Genomic DNA, 21,412 nt, shown 5'->3' with positions numbered 1-21,412 from the left:
GTTCTGGCTCCTGCAGGGTGATCCTAGCCTCTTGGCATCAGAGCACCATTCACTTCCTTTATCTCTCCAGTCTTAAGAGTAGTAGTGACTTCCGGCTGTTGCTCATCTTTGGATTGCCTCATCATCCCCCATTTGGTCATTCAATTCTTTCCCTGTATCAAATTTCCCTTGTCTGAAATACCTAGGGTAATTTCTGTTTTGCTGACTGGTTGTTAACTGACGTATACTCTATAGTCCACTCTCTACACAGGGGCTGAAGTGGATCCCGCTAAAAACAAAGCAGATGGGGGCATGACCCAGCTCTCATCCCTCCAAGAGCTTCCCATCATCAGAATAGATGAGAATAGAATCTCAGCTCCTCTGGAACTAAAAAAAAAAAAGGCAGATAAAAGGGAGCTAGGCCCTTTTATCTACCTTTTCCATCCCTTTCTGAGCTCACCCTCCTCCTTGCCCACAGTATTTCTAGCCACAGCAGTCTGCTTGCTGTTCCTTCCGCCCATCAAGCCAGTTTCTTTGCATTTGCTGTTTCCATTGCAAGAACACCCTTGCTGCAGATCTGTCCATGGCTTGCTCCCTCACATGATTCAGGTCTCTGCTCTAGAGGGACCTTCAGCGACCATCTTTTTTTTTTTTTGAGACGGAGTCTTGCTCTGTCTCCCAGGCTGGAGTGCAGTGGCACATCTCGGCTCACTGCAAGCCCCACCTCCCAAGTTCACACCATTCTCCTGCCTCAGCCTCCCGCATAGGTGGGACTACAGGCACCTGCCACCACCCTGGCTAATTTTTTGTATTTTTTTTTAGTAGAGATGGGGTTTCACCGTGTTAGCCAGGATGGTCTTGATCTCCTGATCTCATGATCCACCCGCCTCAGCCTCCCAAAGTGCTGGGATTACAGGCATGAGCCACCATGCCCGGCCTTCTTTTTTTTTTTTTTTTTGGGACGGGGTCTCGCTCTGTCGCCCAGGCTGGAGTGCAGTGGCACGATCTCAGCTCACTGCAAGCTCCACCTCCCGGGTTCATGCCATTCTCCTGCCTCAGCGTCCCGAGTAGTTGGCACTACAGGTGCCCGCCACCACGCTCGGCTAATTTTTTTTTTTTTTTTTGTATTTTTAGTAGAGACGGGGTTTCATCGTGTTAGCCAGGATGGTCTCGATCTCCTGACATCGTGATCCGCCCGCCTCGGCCTCCCAAAGTGCTGGGATTACAGGCATGAGCCATCGCGCCCAGCTTGCGACCATCTTTTCTAAAATTGTTCCACCTTCCCATCACTCAAATCCTTTTATCCTGCTTTATTTTTCTTCCCGGCACTTTCCCTACCTGCTGTGGTATTTCATATTTATGCATACATTTGCTTAGAGCCTGCTTTACTAGAATGTAAGCTCCATGACAGCAGGGACCTCATCTGAGCCTCACTTGTGCCTGTGGCCCTAGCACCCCTCACAGACACACGGTCAGCATTGCTGCAGATCTAGATGGTGAAGACAGGACATGGACCTCCTGGTTTAACTGATTTTGTGCTGGAATTCAAAGGGCTCCAGCGCAGTTCTCCATTATTCAGATGAGAAAAGTAGAGTGGAGAAATGGGTCCCAGGTCACACAGCTGAGTTTTGCTTCCTAGAGCTCTGTCCACACAGCTGTCCCTTCCTGTCCTTGGCTACAACTTGAATTTGGGCATTTGCCTCTAGGAGGTGAAGATGGATTTTTGAAGTTTTGGTCCTTACCCAGGCAGCCCTGTAGGCCTGGGGCAGCCCCTGAGTTACCAGAGCCTGGAGAGAGCTCGGTGGGGCCAAGTGGGAACAGCAAATGAGAAAAGTGGACTGGGGAACGCGATAGGGAGGGGTGGGGACTGTGGTGGGTTGCAGAGTTCATGCTCCCTTCGACATCATTAATATAAATAAAAAATTAAAACACTTCCTTAGCATGTGTATGTGTGTATGTGTATTGCAAAATTTCCAAAAAACAAAACAAAATAAAAAAAAAAAACACAGGAAGGATATGCCAGAAACTAATGAAACTGGCTCCCTCCAGCAGGTGAGTAGGAATGGAGTGTGGGGGATAGAAGGACTCTTCTGAGCACAGCTTGCATAGAGTGGACCTTTTGGAACTATGTTAATGTTCTACATATTGAAAACAATAAAGTAACAAAGAAGAATGTAGACAGAAATGACTGAGCCTACCTGTATTTCAGACGAATAAAATAACCACACTGAAGAGAAAGAACCAATCCAAGTAACATCTGAACGTGTATTCAAACTGTTACTTTGACCATGGACCCTCAATCTAACGACAAAAAAAAAAAATACTGAGTAAGATCAGATACATCTTGAGCTCTATTTAGAATGTTTGTTTTTCACAGGGTATGGGTATGGCAATTCTGAAACTCCTTTTTGTGCAGGATTGAGCAAATAAGTAGATATATTGATGTTGATAGAAACCCAGGTTCTTACTGTTTAAGAATCGAGGAAATAGGGAATTGGGGAAGAATGGAAGAACTCTGTGGTGTTTGACTGGAACTGGAGAAATAGATATAGAGAGATGTGTTTGCTATTTATTCACACATACATATTCTGTCTCCCCCCTTTTTTTTCCTTTTTTATTTTTTTAGAGACAGGGTCTCAGTCTGTCATCCAGGCTGGAATGTAGTGTTGCAATCATAACTCACTGCAGCCTTGAACTCTTGGGCTCAAGAGATCCTCCGGCTTTGACCTCCCAAAGTGCTGGGATTACAGGTGAGAGCTCCTGCGCCCAGCCACATAGACACATTCCTTAGCTCTCTTTGCTGGAAGGACTTAAAAGCAATGACACCTCAGTACCAAGGAGCACATCTATTGCCCAGATCTTGGATTCTAAACATTTCCTGCTCCAGGAAACCAGGGCTCCTTGGAGAAATGGCTGATTCCCGGTTCGTACGAGATGAACCTGGAACATCTTGTGATGCCAGAGAGAAAGGATGTGCTCAAAAAATGATCGGGACACGGAAGGGACCTTCTGCTGGCCAAATCTGGGACAATTTGAGGATCAAAATAATTGAGGACAGTAATGGATTATAACTCACTGAATAAAATAAAAATCCATGAGTCTACACTGATAATAAAGACAGAAACTAATACAGATAAAAGAAATGATGGAGTTAGATAACTACCATTTGCAACTATCTTAGCAAAAATTGATTCAGGTAGTTGATTTCAGTTAAGTTATCATCGATGGATAAAGCTAGTGGGTGAAAGGTGATGAGGAAAGGGACATTTACACCCAACAATATTTCCCCACAGATTATTGATTAATTACAAAGGGGAGAAATGGTAGCTTCACCGTGGAGAAACATGGCGGACATCACCTTAATGGATGATTAAAATTAATTAACATCACCAAGAATGGGCCATGCCCCTACAGATGGAATTCCCTAGGGCATATCATTTATGTCACATTCCTGCCCATGCAATACCTAAATCTAATCACGACAAAGCATCAGAGAAACCTAAACTGATAGACATTCTATAAAACAACTGGCCTGTATTCTTCAAGAGTGTCAAGAATGTCAAAGTTATAAAATAAAAAAAAGGCTGAGGAGTGTTTTCAGATTAAAGGAGACTAAAGAGACACAACAACTAAATGCAATGTGCAACCCTAGCCTGGATGTTGGCCTCCTCCAGCAATGGCACCCTTTGTCTGTGGATAGGATGACCTGCCTGGTGATCACTGGCATTCCTGCCTGAACAGCCTCCTTTCATGATTGCAGAGCTGTGCCCCTCTGACATATGCTCAGCTTGTTTGTAACATTTAGATTAAGACACAAAGGAGGCTGGGTGCAGTGGCTCACACCTGTAATCCCAGCACTTTGGGAGGCAGAGGAAGGAGGATCACCTGAGCCCTGGAGTTTGAGACCAAACTGGGCAACATGGCAAAACTCTGTCTCTACAAAAAACACAAAAATTAGCCAAGTGTGGTGTCATGTACCTGTAGTCCCAGCTACTCTGGAGGCTGAGGTGGGAGGATCACCTGAGCCTGGGAAGGCTGAGGCTGCAGTGAGCAGTGGTTGTACCACTCCCCTCTAGCCTGGGTGACAGGGTGAGACCCTGCCTCAAAAAAAAAAAAAAAAAAAAAGACACAAAGGGATGTTTGGTGCCAAGACATGAAGAATGCTTGATTCACCTGGCAATGTCTGGGATAAAGGACAGAATCACCAGGTGGGTCCCCAGATGACAAATAGTTCTGAGTAGACAGTGGGGGTCCCCCTTGAAGGCTCAATTAGAGGAAGCAGGTTGTTGCAGTGATGGACCAGGAGGGGCAAGGAGTATGTGCATGATCCACATCAACCCATGTGAGCGCTCGCTCCCTGGAGTGTGGCTGGAGGCCCAGGCCCAGCACAGTTGTGGCACAGACAGGCAGAGGCTGGGGCAAGAGAATACCATGTTTAGTAAAGCTGCTTGCACATGCCTGCAGTTTAGCCTACCTTGGTGACCACATGGCTCCAACATGCAGTCCAGGCCAGGATGGACGGCCTGGGTGGATGTGGGATCCAAGCCACTCTCAGCTGTGCCCCTTGAGTAAGCTGCTGCATCTGTGTCCCTGTAATACGCCCGTACCACACCCATCACTTTAGGAGGCAAGACTCTGGGGCCACAGACACATCAAGGCTAACAGGGATTGGAGGGAAGGGGGATCGATGTCTGGGACACAGGGGAGCCTGGCAAGAAGGGGTGATATGGATCCAGAAACCCCACTACTGGGTATACATCAAAGGGAAATGAAATCAGTATGTTCAAGAGACGTCTGCTTTCCCAGTTCACTGCAGCACTGTTCACAATAGCCAAGATATGGAAGCAGCTTGGTGTCCACTGATAGATGAACGGATAGAGGAAATGTGGTGCATATACATAACAGAGTACCATTCAGCCTTAAAAAAGGAGGAAATCTTGTCATTTATGAAAACATGGGTGAACCCGGTGCACATTATGCTGAGTGAAATAAGCCAGGCACAGAAAGACAAACACTGCATGATCTCACTTACATGTGGAACCTATAAAAGCTGCCCTTATACAAGTAAAGAGTCAAATGCTGGTTACCATGGGCTGGGAGGAGAGGGACTGGGCAGATGTGTCAAAGAATACAAAATTTCAGTTAGGAGGCATAAGTTCAGGGATCTTGTACAGCATGGTGACTATAGTTAACAACAACGTATTGTATTCTTGAAAAAAAGGAGTGATATAGGGGTACCAGAGATGGGCAGGATGATTGAAGATCACAGTCCAGCCTTGCAGGACCCCGGGGGACAGGGCGGGCACTCAGAGGTGGACCTCCAGCAGGTAGCGCAGGCGACACTGGCTCTCCTGGTAGATGAGGTACTCGCTCTGGGAGAATGTGGAGCTGCTGAACTCTGGGCAGGGCACAGGCTGGCCCTGGGGCACCACCACTTGCTGGCCATCCAGCTCCAACTCAGTGTCCTGGGTCGGATCTGCAGGGCACAGCAAGGGCCAGGGTGGCCCAGGGGTCACTGGTCCCAGGCCTTACGAGTAAGTCCTGCCCCCTATGCTCTCCATGTCTGTCACAGGGCACGCCTGCTCATTTCCACCTTGCCCACCTCCAAACCACTGCAGGGGCTGGGGCTTCTGCCTGGGGTGTCCTCCCCGACTTCTCTCTGGGAAACTTGTACTAATCCTTCAATGCTCAGTCAACAACTCCTCTTTTTGAAGCCCTCCGGGATGCCCAGGAATGATGTGTTGAACCAGTGGATGTTTGTCAAATGACAAACTGAGTGACGACAGGGAAGCTTCTTTTTGTCCCTCTTCACAGCCCCCTCCCTGAAAATGTCCCAGCCCCTATCTCGGCCCCACCTCTCTCCTTGGGCTGTACAGCTTCTGAGGACTCACCAGGCTCGGTGTGGCCTCGGGCAATGACACTGTCGAAGCCAGGAGGTGGGCTCTTCAAGCTGGGGTTGTCCGTGTTGATATGGTGCTCTCTGCCCAGGGCCACCTCACCCAGGAACATGTAGCCGACATGGTGGGCCCCACACTTCATGCCAATAACTGCAAGACACAGGGAGGCACCGGTGGGCAGCTCAGCCTGCCTCCTGCTGACCTGTGGGGCCCCTCTCTGCTGCGATGTTATTCCTTCTGGCTTTGCTGCTCCAGCAAGAAAAGGCTCACTCTCCCCCAACCGTCACTCCCTCCTTGTCCCGGCCTGCTCCCTCCCACCTCACTGTGCTCCCTATGGCCAGGCATCTGTACCCTCTGCTGTCCTCACCAAGGTCAGCAATGGCCTCCCAGTGACCAAACCCGTGGCAGGGGCTTTTCTCCCTGGCCTGCTCTGCTGACTTTGCTCCTGACATCATCAGCCCCTACCTGGGACTTCCTCGCGCTGGCTCTCCTAAGCCCTCCACCCCGCCACTCTTTCCTAAGCCCCTCTGCCCTCCTGGTGGACCCCTTGCTCTTGGTGACCTCAGGCATCCTAGAACTTCAGCCCCATCTGTTCTGGGATGAATCCTTGGTCCTTGCTCTCTTGGCCAGCTGGGTGGTGGCCTCCAATGATGGGGACAGCCTGGGTGGAGGAGCTGGTCTGGGGGGGTCATTTTGGTGAGGACACTCCTGGCCAGAAACTCAGAAGTCACTGGAGACAGCCTTGACCCTTTCCCACACGCTCCCCATCCCATCTCCTACATGCCCCTCTCATGGGCTCCCTCCCCTGCACTTCCCAGCCCTTGGGCCAGGCACCCATCACATCCAGCCTGGATAAGAGGATGGCCTCTCTGCAGCCTCTGGCTGCTGCCCCCCTCTCCACAGCTGTAGCCACTGGGATCCTGCTACAGACAAGTCCAGCTGGGCTAACCATCACTCTCTGGATAAAGCCTCCTCGATCGTTCTGGGCCCCTAGCCCACCCTGCCCCCGGCTAGGCATTGCTCTGAGCTCCAGTATCAGGAAGTGTTTGGAAGCCCTGACCTGCCACATCCTCACATCCTCCCAGCCTCTCTGCCTATCCCCTTGCCTTGACGTCTCCTCTTTTTTATTTTTATTTTTTCAGATGGAGTCTGGCTCTGTCACACAGGCTGGAGTGTGATCATAGCTCATGGCAGCCTTAAACTTGTGGGCTCAAGCGTTCCTCCTGCCTCAGCCTCCAGAGTAGATGGAACTACAGGTGTATGCCACCACACCTGGCTCAAAGGCTCCCCTTTTACCCCCTCCCAGGTCTGGTTGGTGCACCCATCCTATCTGTATTGCCTCCCCCAGGAAGCCATCCCTGACCATCAGACACTTTCTCTAAGACCCCCCGCCACCAAAGCCCAGGACAGCCCACTGAGCACTGTAGTCATTAACCATTAAAGGATTCCTCTCTTGGATTCACCATGAATTTCCAGTGGCCAAGGACTGGGCCCAATCCATCTTAGTGCCAACCCTCCCAGGGCTTGGCCCAGAGGGGCACCTCACCATATCCAGCTGACTTGCTGTTCTCTGAGGCAAAGTAGATGCCCTTGCCAACACGCCCACCAGAATGTGGCATGATGCGGAGCCCACTAGTGAGGATGGCGGCCACCACGGCCATGTTGGTGCCATGCCACAGCAGCTTCCGATTACCCAGTTTGGAGTGGGCCTGGAATCTGTCTTCCTGAGTGGAGAGGAAGTGAGAAATGGGAGTGATGCCACCCGAGCACTCAGTCGCCTTGCCCTGCTGCTTGTGACCAAGGCCTAGTGTCCCTCTGCTTACTCACGCGCACTCATGGCCGGCAGAAACTGACCAGAGCTGCTAAACGATTTGCTAAGGGACCGATTAGCCAAGGACATCTTCCTAAGGCACAGTGGTGATGGGGGAGAGGTGGGGGAACCTCCCTCACCTCCCCTTCTTGGTTTACTTTCCAGATGTGTTGAAGTGTAGGGCACCTGTGGTTGCTGCCAGTCTGTTCTAAGTAGGTCTGTATCACCTGTGGGGAGAGCAGAAGCTGGTTGCCAGGGTGGGAGGCTCAGGAGCTAATCCCCCATTTTTCTTCCCCCAGTCCCAAGCCCTCCTCAGGCCCTGGAGACACAGGAAGAGAAGGCTGAGGGCGAGTATTCCTCTGGGCACCTCGAGGGCAGGTGGGCAGAGGGACAGTGCCCACTGATAGCCTGGCCCCTCTGTGGGGCCCAACTCACCTTGTACTCAGGTGCTCCAGAGTCTAGCAGCTGCAGCTGGCACTTGAGAAGCTGGTAGTCTCGGTCCAGGGGGTGTGGCACCTCCTCCACCGTCTTCTCCTGCTCAGAGACTGCCTGCAGGGCCTGGGCCAGCTCGATGTCCGCCAGCACCTAGGATGATGGGCCCTGGCAGTTTGTCTTCCCACTTGACCTCTGGCCTCCCCTCTCCTCTCTCACATGACTGGTATTGTAGCCACCCCACCTGTGTGTCCCACCTGTCCCTCCCCACCCTATCTGTCTGCCCAGCCTTCCCCACCCGTCTGTCAGCCTGCCCAGGCAGTCCATCCTTCTGGGCCTTCTTGGCCACCTGCCCTTCATCTCGCTCGCCTAGGCTGTCTGTTCAGTGCCCCACTGCCTGCCCGCACCCCTGCCAGCCCTCACCAGCAGCATGTCCTTCTTGGCCTGCAGAAGCTCAGGGGAATTGATGGGCGGGGGCTGGCTGTGGCCGAAGTTGTGCGGGATGACGGTGTAAAAGTGTGAGGACAGCTCCTCCAGGCTTTGGCCACCATCCGTGGGGCCTTTCAGGGCCTCCTCCAGCGCCTCCAAGGCCTCGAAACCCCGTGCAATCTGTTGCTTGCTCAGCTTTCCCAGGGGCATCTTCTTCACATCTAGGGGGACAGGGGAGTGGGGAGACTCAGCCCCACAGCCCTGCCACCCTGAGGCCCCTGCCACCCTGCCTGCCTCTCACCCCTCACCCAGGTCCATGAGGGCCATGGTGTTCTTGAACATCTCCTTGCTGAAGATGTTAGTGATGAGCTTCTGCGTGGCTGGGTCCAGGGAGCAGGGCTGCACCCGCTTAGTCACAGTCCTCACTGGGCCTCTGTCCACCTGAAGATAGAGGGCACATGTGGGCAGGAGCAGCGGGGCAGGGCGTGACACCAGACAGAGACCAGCCAGCCTGAGGCCAGAGGGGAGTTCTGTGGCTGAGGCTGCGCAGCTGGGCAGTGGCAGAGCCCAACCAGCGGGAACTCTCCAACGAGTCCCCTCCCTCAGTCCAGGGCCTGCCCACCTTCCTTGGCCATCTCACCTTCACCACAGCTTCCTGGGCCTCATCCTCTGCCTGTACTTCGATAAGTGTGTACTTGCCCGGGTGAGACACAAAGTGGTCCCGCTCTGCCCAGTTGTTCTTGGTCTTTTCCCGAAATTTCTTCTCAAAGTCCTTCTTTGCATCTTCTAGCCTTGTGAAGTGGTTGATCTTTGACTGGCCGACCTCTCCCTGCAACCGACAGCCTTCAGGGGTATGCCCACCATCAGCATTTGCTGGCCTGTGTGTCGGGCCAGGCCCTGTGCTGAGTGCCCTGGGACAGTTGGGAGGTGCCCCCCCAAGTCAGTAGCTGTGGCCTTTTGAGGACCCTGGGGAGTATGTGCAGAGCAGGCAGGGCACTCACCACACGGCCCCAGCGGTTCCAGCAGGTGAAGAAGCGGTTGCTGTCTTGGAGCAGCTGGATGATGTAGAACTTGTTGTTGTTGTTCTCGATGTTGGTCTGGTTCAGGGTGCAGTTGTAGTCCTCATACACCTGGGCCAGAGGGGAGGTGGGGGGCAGGCTGGCTGGGGTCAGATGGGGTGCCTGGCCGTACACCGAGAGGGCTCTGATGGGGACAGGAGTCTGACGGCAGTGGGAGTCAGAGGGACCCTGTCTTGGAAGCTTGGGGGGGTCACTGCTCTTCCCTAGGGGATGCGGTGTGAGAGGACATGGCTAAACCCTGACATGGAGGTATGGGGGGTGCTGGGGGGGACACAGCTGGGCCCTGGATGGGGGAATCTGAGAGGGACATGGCTCTGCCCTGAGGGGACATGGGCAAGCGCCCAGGAGACTGATGTAGTCACAGCCTTTCCCTAAGTGCGGTGGGAGGAGGCCTGCATGGGGTCTGAAGGGCAGATGTGACCCGCCTGGACCTGACGGGACACAGCCCTGATGTCTGGGGTCAGGAGAACATGGCCTTGCTCTGGCGCTTACCTGGGGGCCTTGGGCTCCAAAACCAGAACAGAGTCCTAAGGGGGTGGCCTGGGTGTGTTTGTGCTTATCAGTGGGCAGGCTCTGGGCCTGACTGGGGACTGCAGCTCACCTGGGTCCCGGGGTTGCTGCTGAGTGGACATGTTGGATCCACGCGGATTATGCGCTTCTCTGCGGGTATGGCCTTGAGGGCCTCAGCGGTGGAGCGGAAGGGGTCCTCCTCCCTTCCTGCCTGCCGGCCCTTCTTCTTCTCAGGGCCCTCAGTCTGTACCCAGGGCTTCGGCTTTGGAGCCATGGCTGTCCTGGGGCACAGAGAGGCCCTTAGGCCTCCATGGTCTCCTCATCCCCAACGACCCACTCTCAGTCCCCACCCCTGCCCTGGGCCAGCACAGCACCAACTTGCCCCACCCCGGGTTGGCCCTTCGGTGGCCTCCCACTGCATCCTGTGTCCACTCTGACGGCATTCCCAGCCCCAGACCACACCCAGCTCTTTGTCACTCAGAAACACCCCTTTCCCCAGTCCCAAGTGCAAGGTTAGGACTCTGTCCAGTCTGCCCACTCTGGTCAACAGGGTCTGCCTGGCTCCCTACCCTCTGCAGCTCACCTGTGTGTCCTGAGGGGTAGGGAAAGTGAAAGGAGGCTCTCTCTCTTCCACTTCGGGGCTCCTCCCCCTGTGTCAGCTAGTTCAGCCCTGGCATGGTTGCCGGGCCGAGTCACCGAGCTATGGGGGAGGGTGGGCAGAGGATCCTGGGGGCAGGATTCTTGGGGCCAGATTATCCTCCCGGAGCTTAGAACCCAGAGCTGTAGAAGCCCTTCCCAATGGACTCAAGAGTTCTGAGGAGCCAGAACTCCGGATCAGTGGCCTTGAACTGATAGAGGGCAAAGGCCAGTCCCACCAGGCCTTGCCCTGCCCTGCCGTGGGCAGGACCATAGGACACTCACCCAAGAAAAGCAGGGACATGGGAGAGGTCCTGGCTGCCACCCGGCCTGGTTGTGTGCGCCTCCCAGGGCAGTCCCAGGTCTAGCAACTCTCCATGAGCCTCAGGCGTGAATTAGGGAGAGAATTCCCAACAATCGCCAGAGGCCGGGGATGAGCTTGTGTGGGGGATTAGACATCGGCTATTTGGCCACCAGTGGGGTGAAGCAGAGGCTGGGGCAGGCCGAGTCAGGCGACCAGTCCCACGGACGGGTGGACACTCGATCTGGCATATCCAAGGCCGGGGCAGTCGCGTCCGTAGCGCTGCTCATGTGGCCGGGGCCTGCAGCACGCATCTGCCGGTCGCGCGGTGACCTTGGGCCCGGATACAGACGCAGCCTCCCTCTCCCCGGGGCTGCTTGGATCCCCGTTGGGTCTAGCGCCGGGCTGCCCATGGAGGGGAGGAGTCACGTTCCAGAACGCGAAAGGGCGCCGCGTCTCTGGCGCCCCCCAGCGGCCAAGGGGCGCAAACACAGAGAAGGCTCTTGCTCCGACTTCGAAGTGGGCCAGCAGCAGAGCGCAAGCGCCACAGCATCAGGCCGGAAGCGCCGTGGAGATGCGGGCTTCCTACTCGAGCCTGGTGCGGGAGCCTAGGAACTTCAGGAGGCGGGGCTACAAGCGTGCATCCTATGGGTGCCTGGGGGCGTGGCAGAGCCTGCAGAAGGACCCAATGGAGCAGTAGGAGGCGGGGCCCGGCGGGCGGTGGAAGCCTATCAATACGCGGGGTCTTGCCAGGCGGCTGGGGAGCTGGGAGGGTTCAGCTGCCACGTGAGTTCTGCGGCCGCTGCTACACGCCTGGTGGGCAGCATGTCGGCAACAGCGGCTGCTCGTAAGCGGGGAAAGCCGGCCTCTGGGGCCGGGGCTGGCGCGGGGGCCGGCAAGCGGCGGCGAAAGGTGAGCATGGCGCTTCTGAGGGCCGCGGTCAGCCCTGCTACTGGGACAACCGTCATCCCATCCAGGGGACCTGGGTCCCGGCCCTTCCCCAGCCCTTCGCCCTGGACCCCTGCTGGAGTCAGCTTCGTCCCTCTCTCCGCGGGCCAAATCCTAGAAAGCCGTTCGCTTAACCCGGGAACCACCGCCTTCCCCATTCCTGGGGTTCTGAGGGAACCGAGGGGGGGGGGCCCTTGGTCAATGCCAGGGTGGTCTGGACCCCTGACCAAAGAAAAGACCGTATAATTCCCAGGCCGACTCTGCGGGGGACAGGGGCAAATCCAAGGGTGGCGGCAAGATGAATGAGGAGATCTCCAGCGACTCTGAGAGCGAGAGGTGAGCTATTCTTTTCCACATAGTGGGAGGGAAAACTGAGTCCCATGGTGCACGGAAGACTGAGTGAGTCCGAACAGAACTGAGCCTAGAATCCAAGACTCTGTCCCTTGGCTCTGAGATCGTGGCTGTTTCCTTTAGTTTCTGGTCCTGCAAAGTCTTGTTTCTGCGAGGTCTCTGGGTGGGAAGGACCCTGGGCCCCAATCCGAGGCCATTGAGACCTCCTTAGGTTTTGGCAGGGACTGGACTGATTGAGAAATTGCAGGAAAACAGAACAAAGCTGTCAAGTATTTCTTGCATCCTTCTTCCCTTGCCAGTTTTCCTGCAATTTCACAATTACTGGGCTCCCCGTCTCTTAACATGCCAGGCACTGCCTTTGCTGTTGGAAGTGCAGAGATAGGCAGGCGGGTGAAGAGAGTGTGTTGTAGTGAGGTGTGTATTTTATAGTTGTGTGTTCTGGGAACAGAGGAGGGACATTTAAATAGGGTCTTGAGAGATGAAGAGGAGTCTCTCACGGAGAGGTAGGGAAGGCATTCAGTGATCAGAGGAAAGTCTGAGGTGTAAGTGTGCCAGAATGGGCAGTAGAAAAGATGAAAGGGGGCTGGGCCTGGTAACTCATGCCTCTAATCCCAGCACTTTGGGAGGCCAAGGCGGGAGGATTGCTTGATGTCAGGAGTTTGAGACCAGCCTGGGCAACATAGCGAGATCTTGTCTGTACAAAAAAAAAAAGTTAGCTGGGTATGGTGGTGTGCACCTGTAGTCCCAACTACTCAGGAGGCTAAGGTTTGGGGATCCCTTCCCAGGGAGTTGAAGCTGCAGTGAACTATGATCATGCACTGCTCTCCAGTCTGGGTGACAGCAAGATCCTGTCTCTAAAAAAAAACCACACACAAAAACAGGAGGACTGGTCATAAGTGCATGTAGATTGTAGAGGGCTTTGGATGCCTCCCTCATTTCTGCAGGTGATGGGTGTGGTTGCTTGCAGGTTTTCAAAGGGTCAGGCATGGTGTCAGGCCTGACCCTGTGGGTTGGAGGCTCTTGGACCAGAGAATCCTAGTGCCTTCCCTATGAGTTGACTTTAGAACTCGCTTCTAAAATTGAGTATGTGTTGCCTTAATTTGCTCATGGAAAGAATGTACTTTTTTTTTTTGTTTTTGAGACAGAGTCTCACTCTGTTGCCCAGGCTGGAGTGCAGTGGTGCGATCTCGGCTCACTGCAACCTCTGCTTCCCAGGTTCAAGTGATTCTCCTGCCTCAGCCACCTGAGTAGCTGGGATTATAGGCCTGCACCACCATGCCTGGCTAATTATGTATGTTTAGTAGAGATGGAGTTTCACCATGTTGGCCAGGCTGGTCTCGAACTCCTGACCTCAAGTGATCCGCCCATCTTAGCCTCCCAGAGTGCTGGGATTATAGGCGTGAGCCACCACACCCAGCCATTAATGTACTTTTCTTAATCCGAAGGTTATTGTGGGTGAGTGTGTGCCAGGCTAGTGTGGGCTAAGTGCTTTTAAATATTTTTAGAATGTTGTGTTGTGAAGTGTGTTAGATACAGAAAAGTGAATGAGATATATTTGCACTACAGAGAGTAATGGTAAAATGGTAAACCTCTGTACACTTACTTACCACTTAGGTTAAGAACTAGAACATTTGCAGAAACTTAGAAGCCGCAACTGTCATTCCTAACTTGAGTTAATCATTTCTTTGGTTTCTTTGTTCTTCTTTTAAAAAATTAACATTTTCCATTTAGGTATAATTTACATATAGTAACATGCCCTTTTTAAAGTTATAGTTCAGTGAGTTTTGACAAACACACACAGTTGTGTGACCACCTCTACCCTGAAGGTAAAGAGTTTCATCACCCTCCAGAACTCCTCCTGCTCCTTCGTAGTCAGCCCCTCTCCTTCCCCCCAAGTCTCTGCTAACCACTGCCCCTAGAGTTGTGCATTTTCTAGCATGCCCTGTAAATGGAATCATAGTGTGTACTTCCCTTGCATTTCTTTAGCGTTCTGTCTCATGCGTATGAATCCTTCAACAATAGATTAATTAGTTTGGCTAAATTGAGTAGAAGTCCGAAGTTAACACAGGTCCCTTGGCTGTGTAAGGGAAGGGCAGCACTAGCCCTGTTGGCTGAAGGCTTGCCAGGCACAGGGCACTAAATTATTTCTGGGGCATGGTCCAGCTTTGGCTTTCCTGAGAGTTTTCAAGGTCCCTTCTGGGGAAGTCAGGGGCAGGTTTACGAGTGAGTCTTGGGAAACACGGTTAGGGGAGTGGACAGAGACTAGATGTCTTCAGGCACATGATCAGAGGGAGTGGGCTGCCTTGGATTCTCTGTGTCTGAGTGCCCATGACCTACCCCCAGCTCCCAGGAGCAGGTCAAAGCAGCACCTGTCTTTGGGTGAAGTGAGTACTCTCAGCTGGTCCGGGGGCTGGGGCATGGAGGGGAAAGCCGTAACTTCACCAGTAAAGGCCAATCCCCAAACAGTGAAGGTTCGCTTGGAACCTTGTTCCCAGGGTAAAGGATGGTGCTGTGGTGATGACAGTCCTGGTGTGTCTGCCTGGTGGGTCCTTGGATCTGATCCAGACTGCCCCCGTCATGTCTGGGGATAGTGTCACCCTTTCTGCTCTCTTGTGTCGCATCTCTGGTTTCCGGTATCCCTTGCCTTTCTCTTTCCCAGTTTACCCTCTTGTTTGGGAGCACAGCTTCTATCCTTCCTAAAGAAAAAGAGGGAGAAAATTCCATGGCACCTTGCACACCTGGCAGTGTCGTCGTTGATTGTTTGACTGGGCATGGCATTTTAGGGGTCAGTGTATTCCTCCAGAGCTTTGTGTGTGAGGCTTCTTTGTCTTCTTGTTCTCAGTATTGCTGTTGAGATGCCTGCACATTTTGATTCCTGACTCTTTGTATGTGACCTGATTTCTTTTGGAAGCCTGGTTTCTCTTGGAAGCCTCCTCTTTCCCCCAGAGTTGAGAGGCTTTAGTGATCTCTTTGGGATTTGGGTCTGTTTCCACCCCTACGTGGGGCACTGAGTGGGGCCTTTTAGTTTGGGGAGTCACATCCTTCAGTTTTCTGCAGTGTAGTCACCGACCATGTGGGCTAGCAGGGAATAGGGGAGGTTGGATGGCAAGGTGAGCATCCAGAAGGCACGATCCTAGCGGTCAGAGGAACAAGGTGAGCCCCTCAGACCCAGCCCCTTCCTGCCCACAGCCTAGCTCCAAGGAAGCCTGAGGAGGAGGAGGAGGAGGAGCTGGAGGAAACTGCACAGGAAAAGAAGCTGCGCTTGGCCAAGCTCTACCTAGAGCAGCTCCGTCAGCAAGGTGAGCCAGTGGGCAGGCCAGCCATGGGCAGGGCTTCTGCCTGTGCTGGTCTGCTGCCCGCCGCTGCAGCCCCAGCCACTTGATGGGTGACTGACATGGATTCCCAGTGGGTGCCCAGGCTGTCAGTGCTGGCTGCCCTGTGGGGGTGGCCAGAAGCTCTCATGGGCCTCCTGGGGAGCCCGCAGGGGGCTGATCTGATAAGTAAAGGCAGGAGGAAACCCTCCAGCTTGCCCTCCCCTCTGCTGAGGCAGCTGGAGCTTCCTGCATTATCCAGCCCTGGGGCAGTGGGATGGGGACAGGATGGAAGGGAAAGAGGGGTCTCAGCCTCAGTTTACTTGGTCTGGTCTGTCCTGCACAGAGGAGGAGAAGGCTGAGGCCCGTGCATTTGAGGAGGACCAGGTGGCGGGGCGCCTGAAGGAGGATGTGGTAAGTGTGGAGGGAGAGTTGGGGGAGGACGGGGGTGGAGCTGATCTGCTCCCAGGGTCTCATCCATCTCTTCTCCATGCAGCTTGAGCAGAGGGGCAGGCTGCAGAAGTTGGTGGCAAAAGAGGTGAGTGGGCATGGTATTTTGGTATAAGGTTGGAGGGAATTGGGGGCCCCACTTGGAACATGGTGGACACTTGGGCCTATCTGGTCAGGTAAGGATCTGGTTGTTGTAGCCTTGGGTCTTGTTTTCCTTCTGGCCTGGGTGGGAAAGGCCAACACTACGCAGTGGGGTTGGTGAAGGTAGTGCCTTTATGCCACTAGCCACAGTGACCTGGCCCCTGTCTGCCCAGATCCAGGCCCCAGCCTCAGCTGACATTCGCGTTTTACGGGGGCACCAGCTCTCTATCACATGTTTGGTCGTCACCCCCGATGACTCAGCCATCTTCTCTGCTGCCAAAGACTGCAGCATCATTAAGTGTGAGTGAGTGCCTGGGTGGGGCTGGAGCCCCCATGGCGGATCCGGGAGGGCTGGTCAGGGGAGTGGGAGTGGTCATGGCAGGCTGAGCCCTGAAGTGGGGAAGTCTCTGGAGGCAGGTTTGCTGCCCTAGGAGTGCTCTCTGGGTGACAGTGAAAGCTGCTGCCCGGCAGTGGGGCTTATGAGCTCCCTGTCCCTAGAGACCTTTGGGCAAAGTCAGGATGATGATTTAATGGGAATTAATGCTGCAGGTAGGTGGTTGGACTAGAAGACATTTGAGGCTGTGCAGTCCTGGGATTGAGTGCCCGGTCCTCCTGGGTTCCCATCCGTTGCTGGCTGACCAGCGGTTCCTTCTACACCCGCTGTAGTAACAGAAGAACTCACACCATCAATCCCAAAGCCCTTTTACATCCCTTCTCTTTTTTGGGCTTTGTGGCTGCTGTTTGGCACTAATGTCCCTCTTCATAGATGAGGAAACTGAGGCAGCTTGTCCGGAGGCTCACGGTGGCTGAGCCAGGTCTTCTGGCCGAGTCCGGGACATTTGCCATGGCTCTTTTTTCCATGCTGCCCCTTGAGGGGGGTTGCCAGCCAGCCCTATCCCCCCATCCCAGTAGCTTCTCCCCCACCCCCAACTGCAGGGAGCGTGGAGAGTGGACGGAAGCTGCATGTGATTCCTCGAGCCAAGAAGGGTGCCGAGGGAAAGCCCCCTGGCCACAGCAGCCACGTCCTCTGCATGGCCATCTCCTCCGACGGCAAGTACCTTGTAAGGCCAGGTTGGCCCTGGGGGCAGGCGGGAGGTCTGGTGCATGGTGGGTGCCTGTGATCATTGTCTTCATCCCTGCAGGCCTCTGGTGACCGCAGCAAGCTCATTCTCATTTGGGAGGCCCAGAGCTGCCAGCACTTGTACACCTTCACAGGACACCGGGATGCAGTGTCGGTGAGGAGCTGGGTCTATGTCAGTGGATCTTTAGTGGGCACATGCTAGTGTTCTAGGCTCAGTGCTGGCCTCTGGAGTCTCTGTCCTCAGGGAACCTGCATCCTGGGGTAGCGAGTGGGTAGCGAGTGGTGCTGTAAAATACATAAATGGGCTAAAGGGATGGGGAGGAGCTGGGGGAGACCGGGCCGAGCTTGCTCAGGAATCAACGAGGGCCTTGAGAAGCCGCCTCTGGGCGGGATGTAGCGGCTCTTGCCTATAATCCTAGCACTTTGGGAGGCCGAGATGGAGGATCATCTGAGCCCAGGAGATGGAGGCTGCAGTGAGCTATGATCGCACCACTGCACTCCAGCCTGAGCAACAGAATGAGACCCTGTCGCTAAAAAAAATAAATAAATAAAAAAGACGTCTGCATCTGCTCAGGGGCAGATGGGCATGTGGGCAGTACAAAATTGCCTCACAGCACGTGCCACATGGCTTGCTTTTTGGGAAGTCCTCCCTGGGCCTGACCTGTCTCTCGCCTGCTGTAGTCCAGGTCCCCTTTGCCCTCTCCCCATGCACCCTTAGGGTCTGGCATTCCGCAGAGGCACCCACCAGCTCTACAGCACATCCCACGATCGCTCCGTGAAGGTGTGGAATGTGGCAGAGAACTCCTACGTGGAGACGCTGTGAGTGTGGATGGGAGAGGGTGTGTGGATGGTGTGAGAGAGGGTGTGGGAGTGTGTGCCCGTGAGTTCATGCAGTACCCCTATCCCCACTATCCTGCTCTGCCCGGCCCTCTAGCTTCGGACACCAGGACGCTGTGGCTGCACTGGATGCCTTGAGCCGGGAGTGCTGTGTGACGGCTGGGGGCCGGGATGGGACTGTACGTGTGTGGAAGATCCCCGAGGAGTCCCAGCTTGTCTTCTATGGCCACCAGTAAGGTGGCCTGCCATGCCAGTGGGGGCTACATGGGCTGGGGGTGGGCTTGGGCCACGCTCCTCACAGCCCCTTTCTCCAGGGGCTCCATCGACTGCATCCACCTAATCAATGAGGAGCACATGGTGTCCGGCGCGGACGATGGGTAAGAGGTCCTTTGGATGTCTCTGGCCACGGCTTCTGCTCCTGAGTGCTGGCTGTCCACGGGGCCCTGAGCTTGCCTCAGGGCACCCCCAGTGGGGGAGCTGTTGTAACCTCTTTTCATGGATGAGGATGATGAGGCAGAGAGCTCAGATGGCCTTGTCCGGGCTGTGTGCCCTTGATCCCTTCCTGTCATGTGGCCTTTTTTCTTTTTTTTTAGAATTAAAAAAAATTTGTTGTGGGTGCTTAGTAGGTGTACGTATTTGTGGGGTACTTGAGATGTTTTGATACAGGCATGCAATATGTAATAATCACATCATGGGAAATGGGGTATCCATCCCCTCAAGCATTAATCCTTTGTGTTACACAGGGGGCCTTTTCTGCCTCTGGCCCCCTCACTGCTGTATTCCCTCCCTGTTTATAGCTCTGTGGCCTTGTGGGGTCTCTCCAAGAAGCGACCACTTGCCCTGCAGCGTGAAGCTCACGGGCTGCGGGGAGAGCCAGGCCTGGAGCAGCCCTTCTGGATATCGTCGGTGGCAGCCCTCCTCAACACAGACCTTGTGGCCACAGGTGGGTGCCCTGAGAGGCAGGGAGGAGGGGTCGCCGGGTGGGCCGGTGCAGGGGTTGCTCACTGTTCCAGTCTCCCCAGGCTCCCACAGCTCCTGTGTGCGGCTTTGGCAGTGTGGGGAAGGCTTCCGGCAGCTTGACCTTCTCTGTGACATCCCCCTGGTGAGTGAGTGTGCTTGAATGCTCAGCCTGTCTCTGCCACACTGCCTAGGCCCCTGGAGTTAGCTCTTTAAGGTCTTTCTTCCTGCCAGAAGGGAACCTTCTCAGGGCAGGGCCAGCTCCTAGCACAGGGCCTGGCAGGAACCCTCCCCACTTTCCCTCCTCTGCTCCCCTTCCTATCCTAGGCCCTGTCCAGGGTGCTGGGGTACAAGTCAGGGAGCAGCATGGGGAGAGGCATGGAGGCCTGGCCCTGTGATGAATTCTGTACTGCTGGTGCCAGATTGGGTGCCAGGCTAGAGGGTGTGGACCTCACTGTCCACACTAGGGTGACCTGGGGGAGGGTGGCAGGATCTGTCAGTGATGTGTGCTGAGAATGCAGGGTCTAGGTCAGTGGGGACAGTCATGGGGTCTCCAGGGCCCCACCACCAGGAGCCAGCCTCAGGCCATACTGGGTGTACACTGCCTCCTTCATCCTCACAAACTCACTGCTAGCCCCGTGCTCTGCTTACCCCCATCTCGCAGATGTGGAGGCTGAGGCCCTGACAAGTGAAGGGCTGGCCTGTGTCACCAGGTGGCAGGAGGCAGAGCAGGGATTTAACCCAGGCCTGATAAGGCCCAGCCCTTGACTGTGATGCTGAGGACGGTGGTGGCGGGGGGCGTTCTAATGTCTTTCCGTGTTGTCTTTCTGCTCAGGTGGGTTTTATCAACAGCCTCAAGTTCTCCAGCTCTGGGGACTTCCTGGTGGCTGGGGTAGGGCAGGAGCACAGGTATGTGTGGCCCTCGAGGGTTCAGGTAAGGTGGTGCAGGCTGGACAGCTCGGTGGAAATGGGGTGGAGACTGGGCCGAGTCTCAGCTGCGTCTTGCACTCCCTGCAGGCTTGGCCGATGGTGGAGAATCAAAGAGGCTCGGAATTCTGTCTGCATCATCCCACTCCGCAGGGTCCCTGTACCCCCAGCTGCTGGTTCCTGACACTCTTATCCTCCTTATTTAAGTCCTTCCCAGGCTATGCCCCACCCTCTTTGTATTAAAAGCCTCCTCTTTTGGGCCTTGTTTCTTGTAGCTTCTTGGTGGGGGTGGGGGTGCATGAGGGACTGGGTGGGAGGCGGCCTGGGGAGGGACAGGACTCCAGCAGTCTCCTAGCTCTGCCCCTCTGCTAGCCTGAGGGCTGTTATCCTTTTCCAAAGAACTTGGGATGGAGACCTCAACTGGCTCCTGGCTCCTGTCCCTGCGTGTCCTGCACGACCTCCTCAGGCTAGCTGCCTGCCACTGCTCTGGGTGGTCGGGGTCAGAAGCTACTCACCCCTCAGCTCAGAAGCCAGGGCTTGTAAGGGCTGGTGCTGGGGTCAGGACTGGACTGTAGACAGCGGACCTGCACATCAAACTGGCTTCGCTTCCTCTCCCAGGTCAGGTCAGGAAGCTGGAGGGGACAGACTGCCGTGAGGTGTGGGGGTCAGGAGTGGGAGTGGGACCCTGCACTGGTGGGCTTACTGTTTGGAGACAGGGGTCCAAGTTGGGAAGAGCTCTGTCTTTGGTCTGAATGTCAGAACCAGGACCTACCTGCCAGGACCTACCTGCCAGGGAAGTGAGTCAAAGGAATGCTCACTCTCTCTGATTTCACAGAGTGGATAGCTCCCTCCTGCTGTGGGGTGAAGCCAGCGAGGAGGAGGTAGAGGTGGACTGGAGGTGTAGAGGCACAGTGAGGTCCCCTCCTATCAGGAAAAAGGAGAAGGGGTGTTAAGGGAAAGCCCCGTGCCCATGGGGCCCAACAGCTGAAACTGTGAAGGAGTGGTGTGGTCCCCTGAGAGACGAAGCCACAGGGCTCCCCTTGACCCCATGCTCACGAGGCCTCCCCCTCAGACTGACCTGTGTCTGCGGTTAATCTGGGACCAGAGGGGTCAGGTTCAGGCTGAGCCTCTGAAAAATCATTTTTTTTTGAGACGGAGTTTCAGTCTTATTGCCCAGGCCGGAGTGCAGTGGCGCGATCTCAGCTCACTGCAACCTCTGCCTCCCAGGTTCAAGCAATTCTCCCGCCTCAGCCTCCCAAGTAGCTGGGATTACAGGTGCGTGCCACCACACCTGGCTAATTTTTGTATTTTTAGTAGAGATGGGGTTTTGCCATGT

The 21,412-nt window shown here is 54.8% G+C and overlaps 2 protein-coding genes across 7 annotated transcripts, besides 2 other annotated features; one reads left to right on the top strand and one right to left on the bottom strand.

Moving 5' to 3' along the window:
* Positions 1-4,898: 4,898 nt before the first annotated feature.
* Positions 4,899-11,403, bottom strand: PARP3 (poly(ADP-ribose) polymerase family member 3). 5 transcript variants are annotated; one of them, NM_001370239.1, is made up of 12 exons: positions 11,058-11,403; positions 10,720-10,836; positions 10,228-10,417; positions 9,549-9,677; positions 9,188-9,376; positions 8,856-8,988; positions 8,542-8,768; positions 8,122-8,271; positions 7,827-7,913; positions 7,423-7,600; positions 5,871-6,026; positions 4,899-5,455 (listed from the first exon to the last, which is right to left on the bottom strand). In NM_001370239.1, the coding sequence occupies exons 3-12, from the start codon at positions 10,408-10,410 to the stop codon at positions 5,286-5,288; spliced, it is 1,602 nt and encodes a 533-aa protein (NP_001357168.1). In that variant the 5' UTR covers positions 10,411-10,417; positions 10,720-10,836; positions 11,058-11,403; the 3' UTR covers positions 4,899-5,285. The 5 variants fall into 5 exon arrangements, with proteins under 5 accessions (NP_001357168.1, NP_001357169.1, XP_047303043.1 ...); NM_001370240.1 differs by having other exon boundaries at positions 10,720-11,403; XM_047447087.1 differs by having other exon boundaries at positions 10,228-10,412; positions 10,720-11,403.
* Positions 11,398-11,727: an enhancer, noted in NCBI's record as "active region_19921". NCBI's record gives its function as "activates an Ori minimal core promoter by ATAC-STARR-seq in GM12878 lymphoblastoid cells {active_cell/tissue: GM12878}" and the evidence as "EXISTENCE:reporter gene assay evidence [ECO:0000049][PMID:35858748]".
* Positions 11,852-12,500: an enhancer, noted in NCBI's record as "H3K27ac hESC enhancer chr3:51975282-51975930 (GRCh37/hg19 assembly coordinates)". NCBI's record gives its function as "activates a minimal SCP1, AML or CMV promoter by ChIP-STARR-seq in naive H9 embryonic stem cells {active_cell/tissue: H9 hESC(naive)}" and the evidence as "EXISTENCE:reporter gene assay evidence [ECO:0000049][PMID:30033119]".
* Positions 11,862-20,337, top strand: RRP9 (ribosomal RNA processing 9, U3 small nucleolar RNA binding protein). Of its 2 annotated transcripts, none has more exons than NM_004704.5 (15): positions 11,862-11,985; positions 12,275-12,357; positions 15,562-15,671; positions 16,030-16,097; positions 16,180-16,221; positions 16,448-16,574; positions 17,211-17,335; positions 17,417-17,509; positions 18,074-18,174; positions 18,290-18,424; positions 18,507-18,569; positions 18,990-19,135; positions 19,215-19,294; positions 19,985-20,058; positions 20,167-20,337. In NM_004704.5, exons 1-15 carry the CDS (start codon positions 11,899-11,901, stop codon positions 20,258-20,260), a joined length of 1,428 nt encoding a protein of 475 aa, NP_004695.1. In that variant the 5' UTR covers positions 11,862-11,898; the 3' UTR covers positions 20,261-20,337. The 2 variants fall into 2 exon arrangements, with proteins under 2 accessions (NP_004695.1, XP_047305128.1); XM_047449172.1 differs by having other exon boundaries at positions 12,259-12,357.
* The last annotated feature ends 1,075 nt before the right edge of the window (positions 20,338-21,412 follow it).

This window comes from Homo sapiens, chromosome 3, assembly GCF_000001405.40.
Source record: "Homo sapiens chromosome 3, GRCh38.p14 Primary Assembly".
NCBI classification, from domain to species: domain Eukaryota; kingdom Metazoa; phylum Chordata; class Mammalia; order Primates; family Hominidae; genus Homo; species Homo sapiens.
Note: the sequence above shows the minus strand (reverse complement) of the source record. Positions and strands in the feature narration are given on the sequence as shown.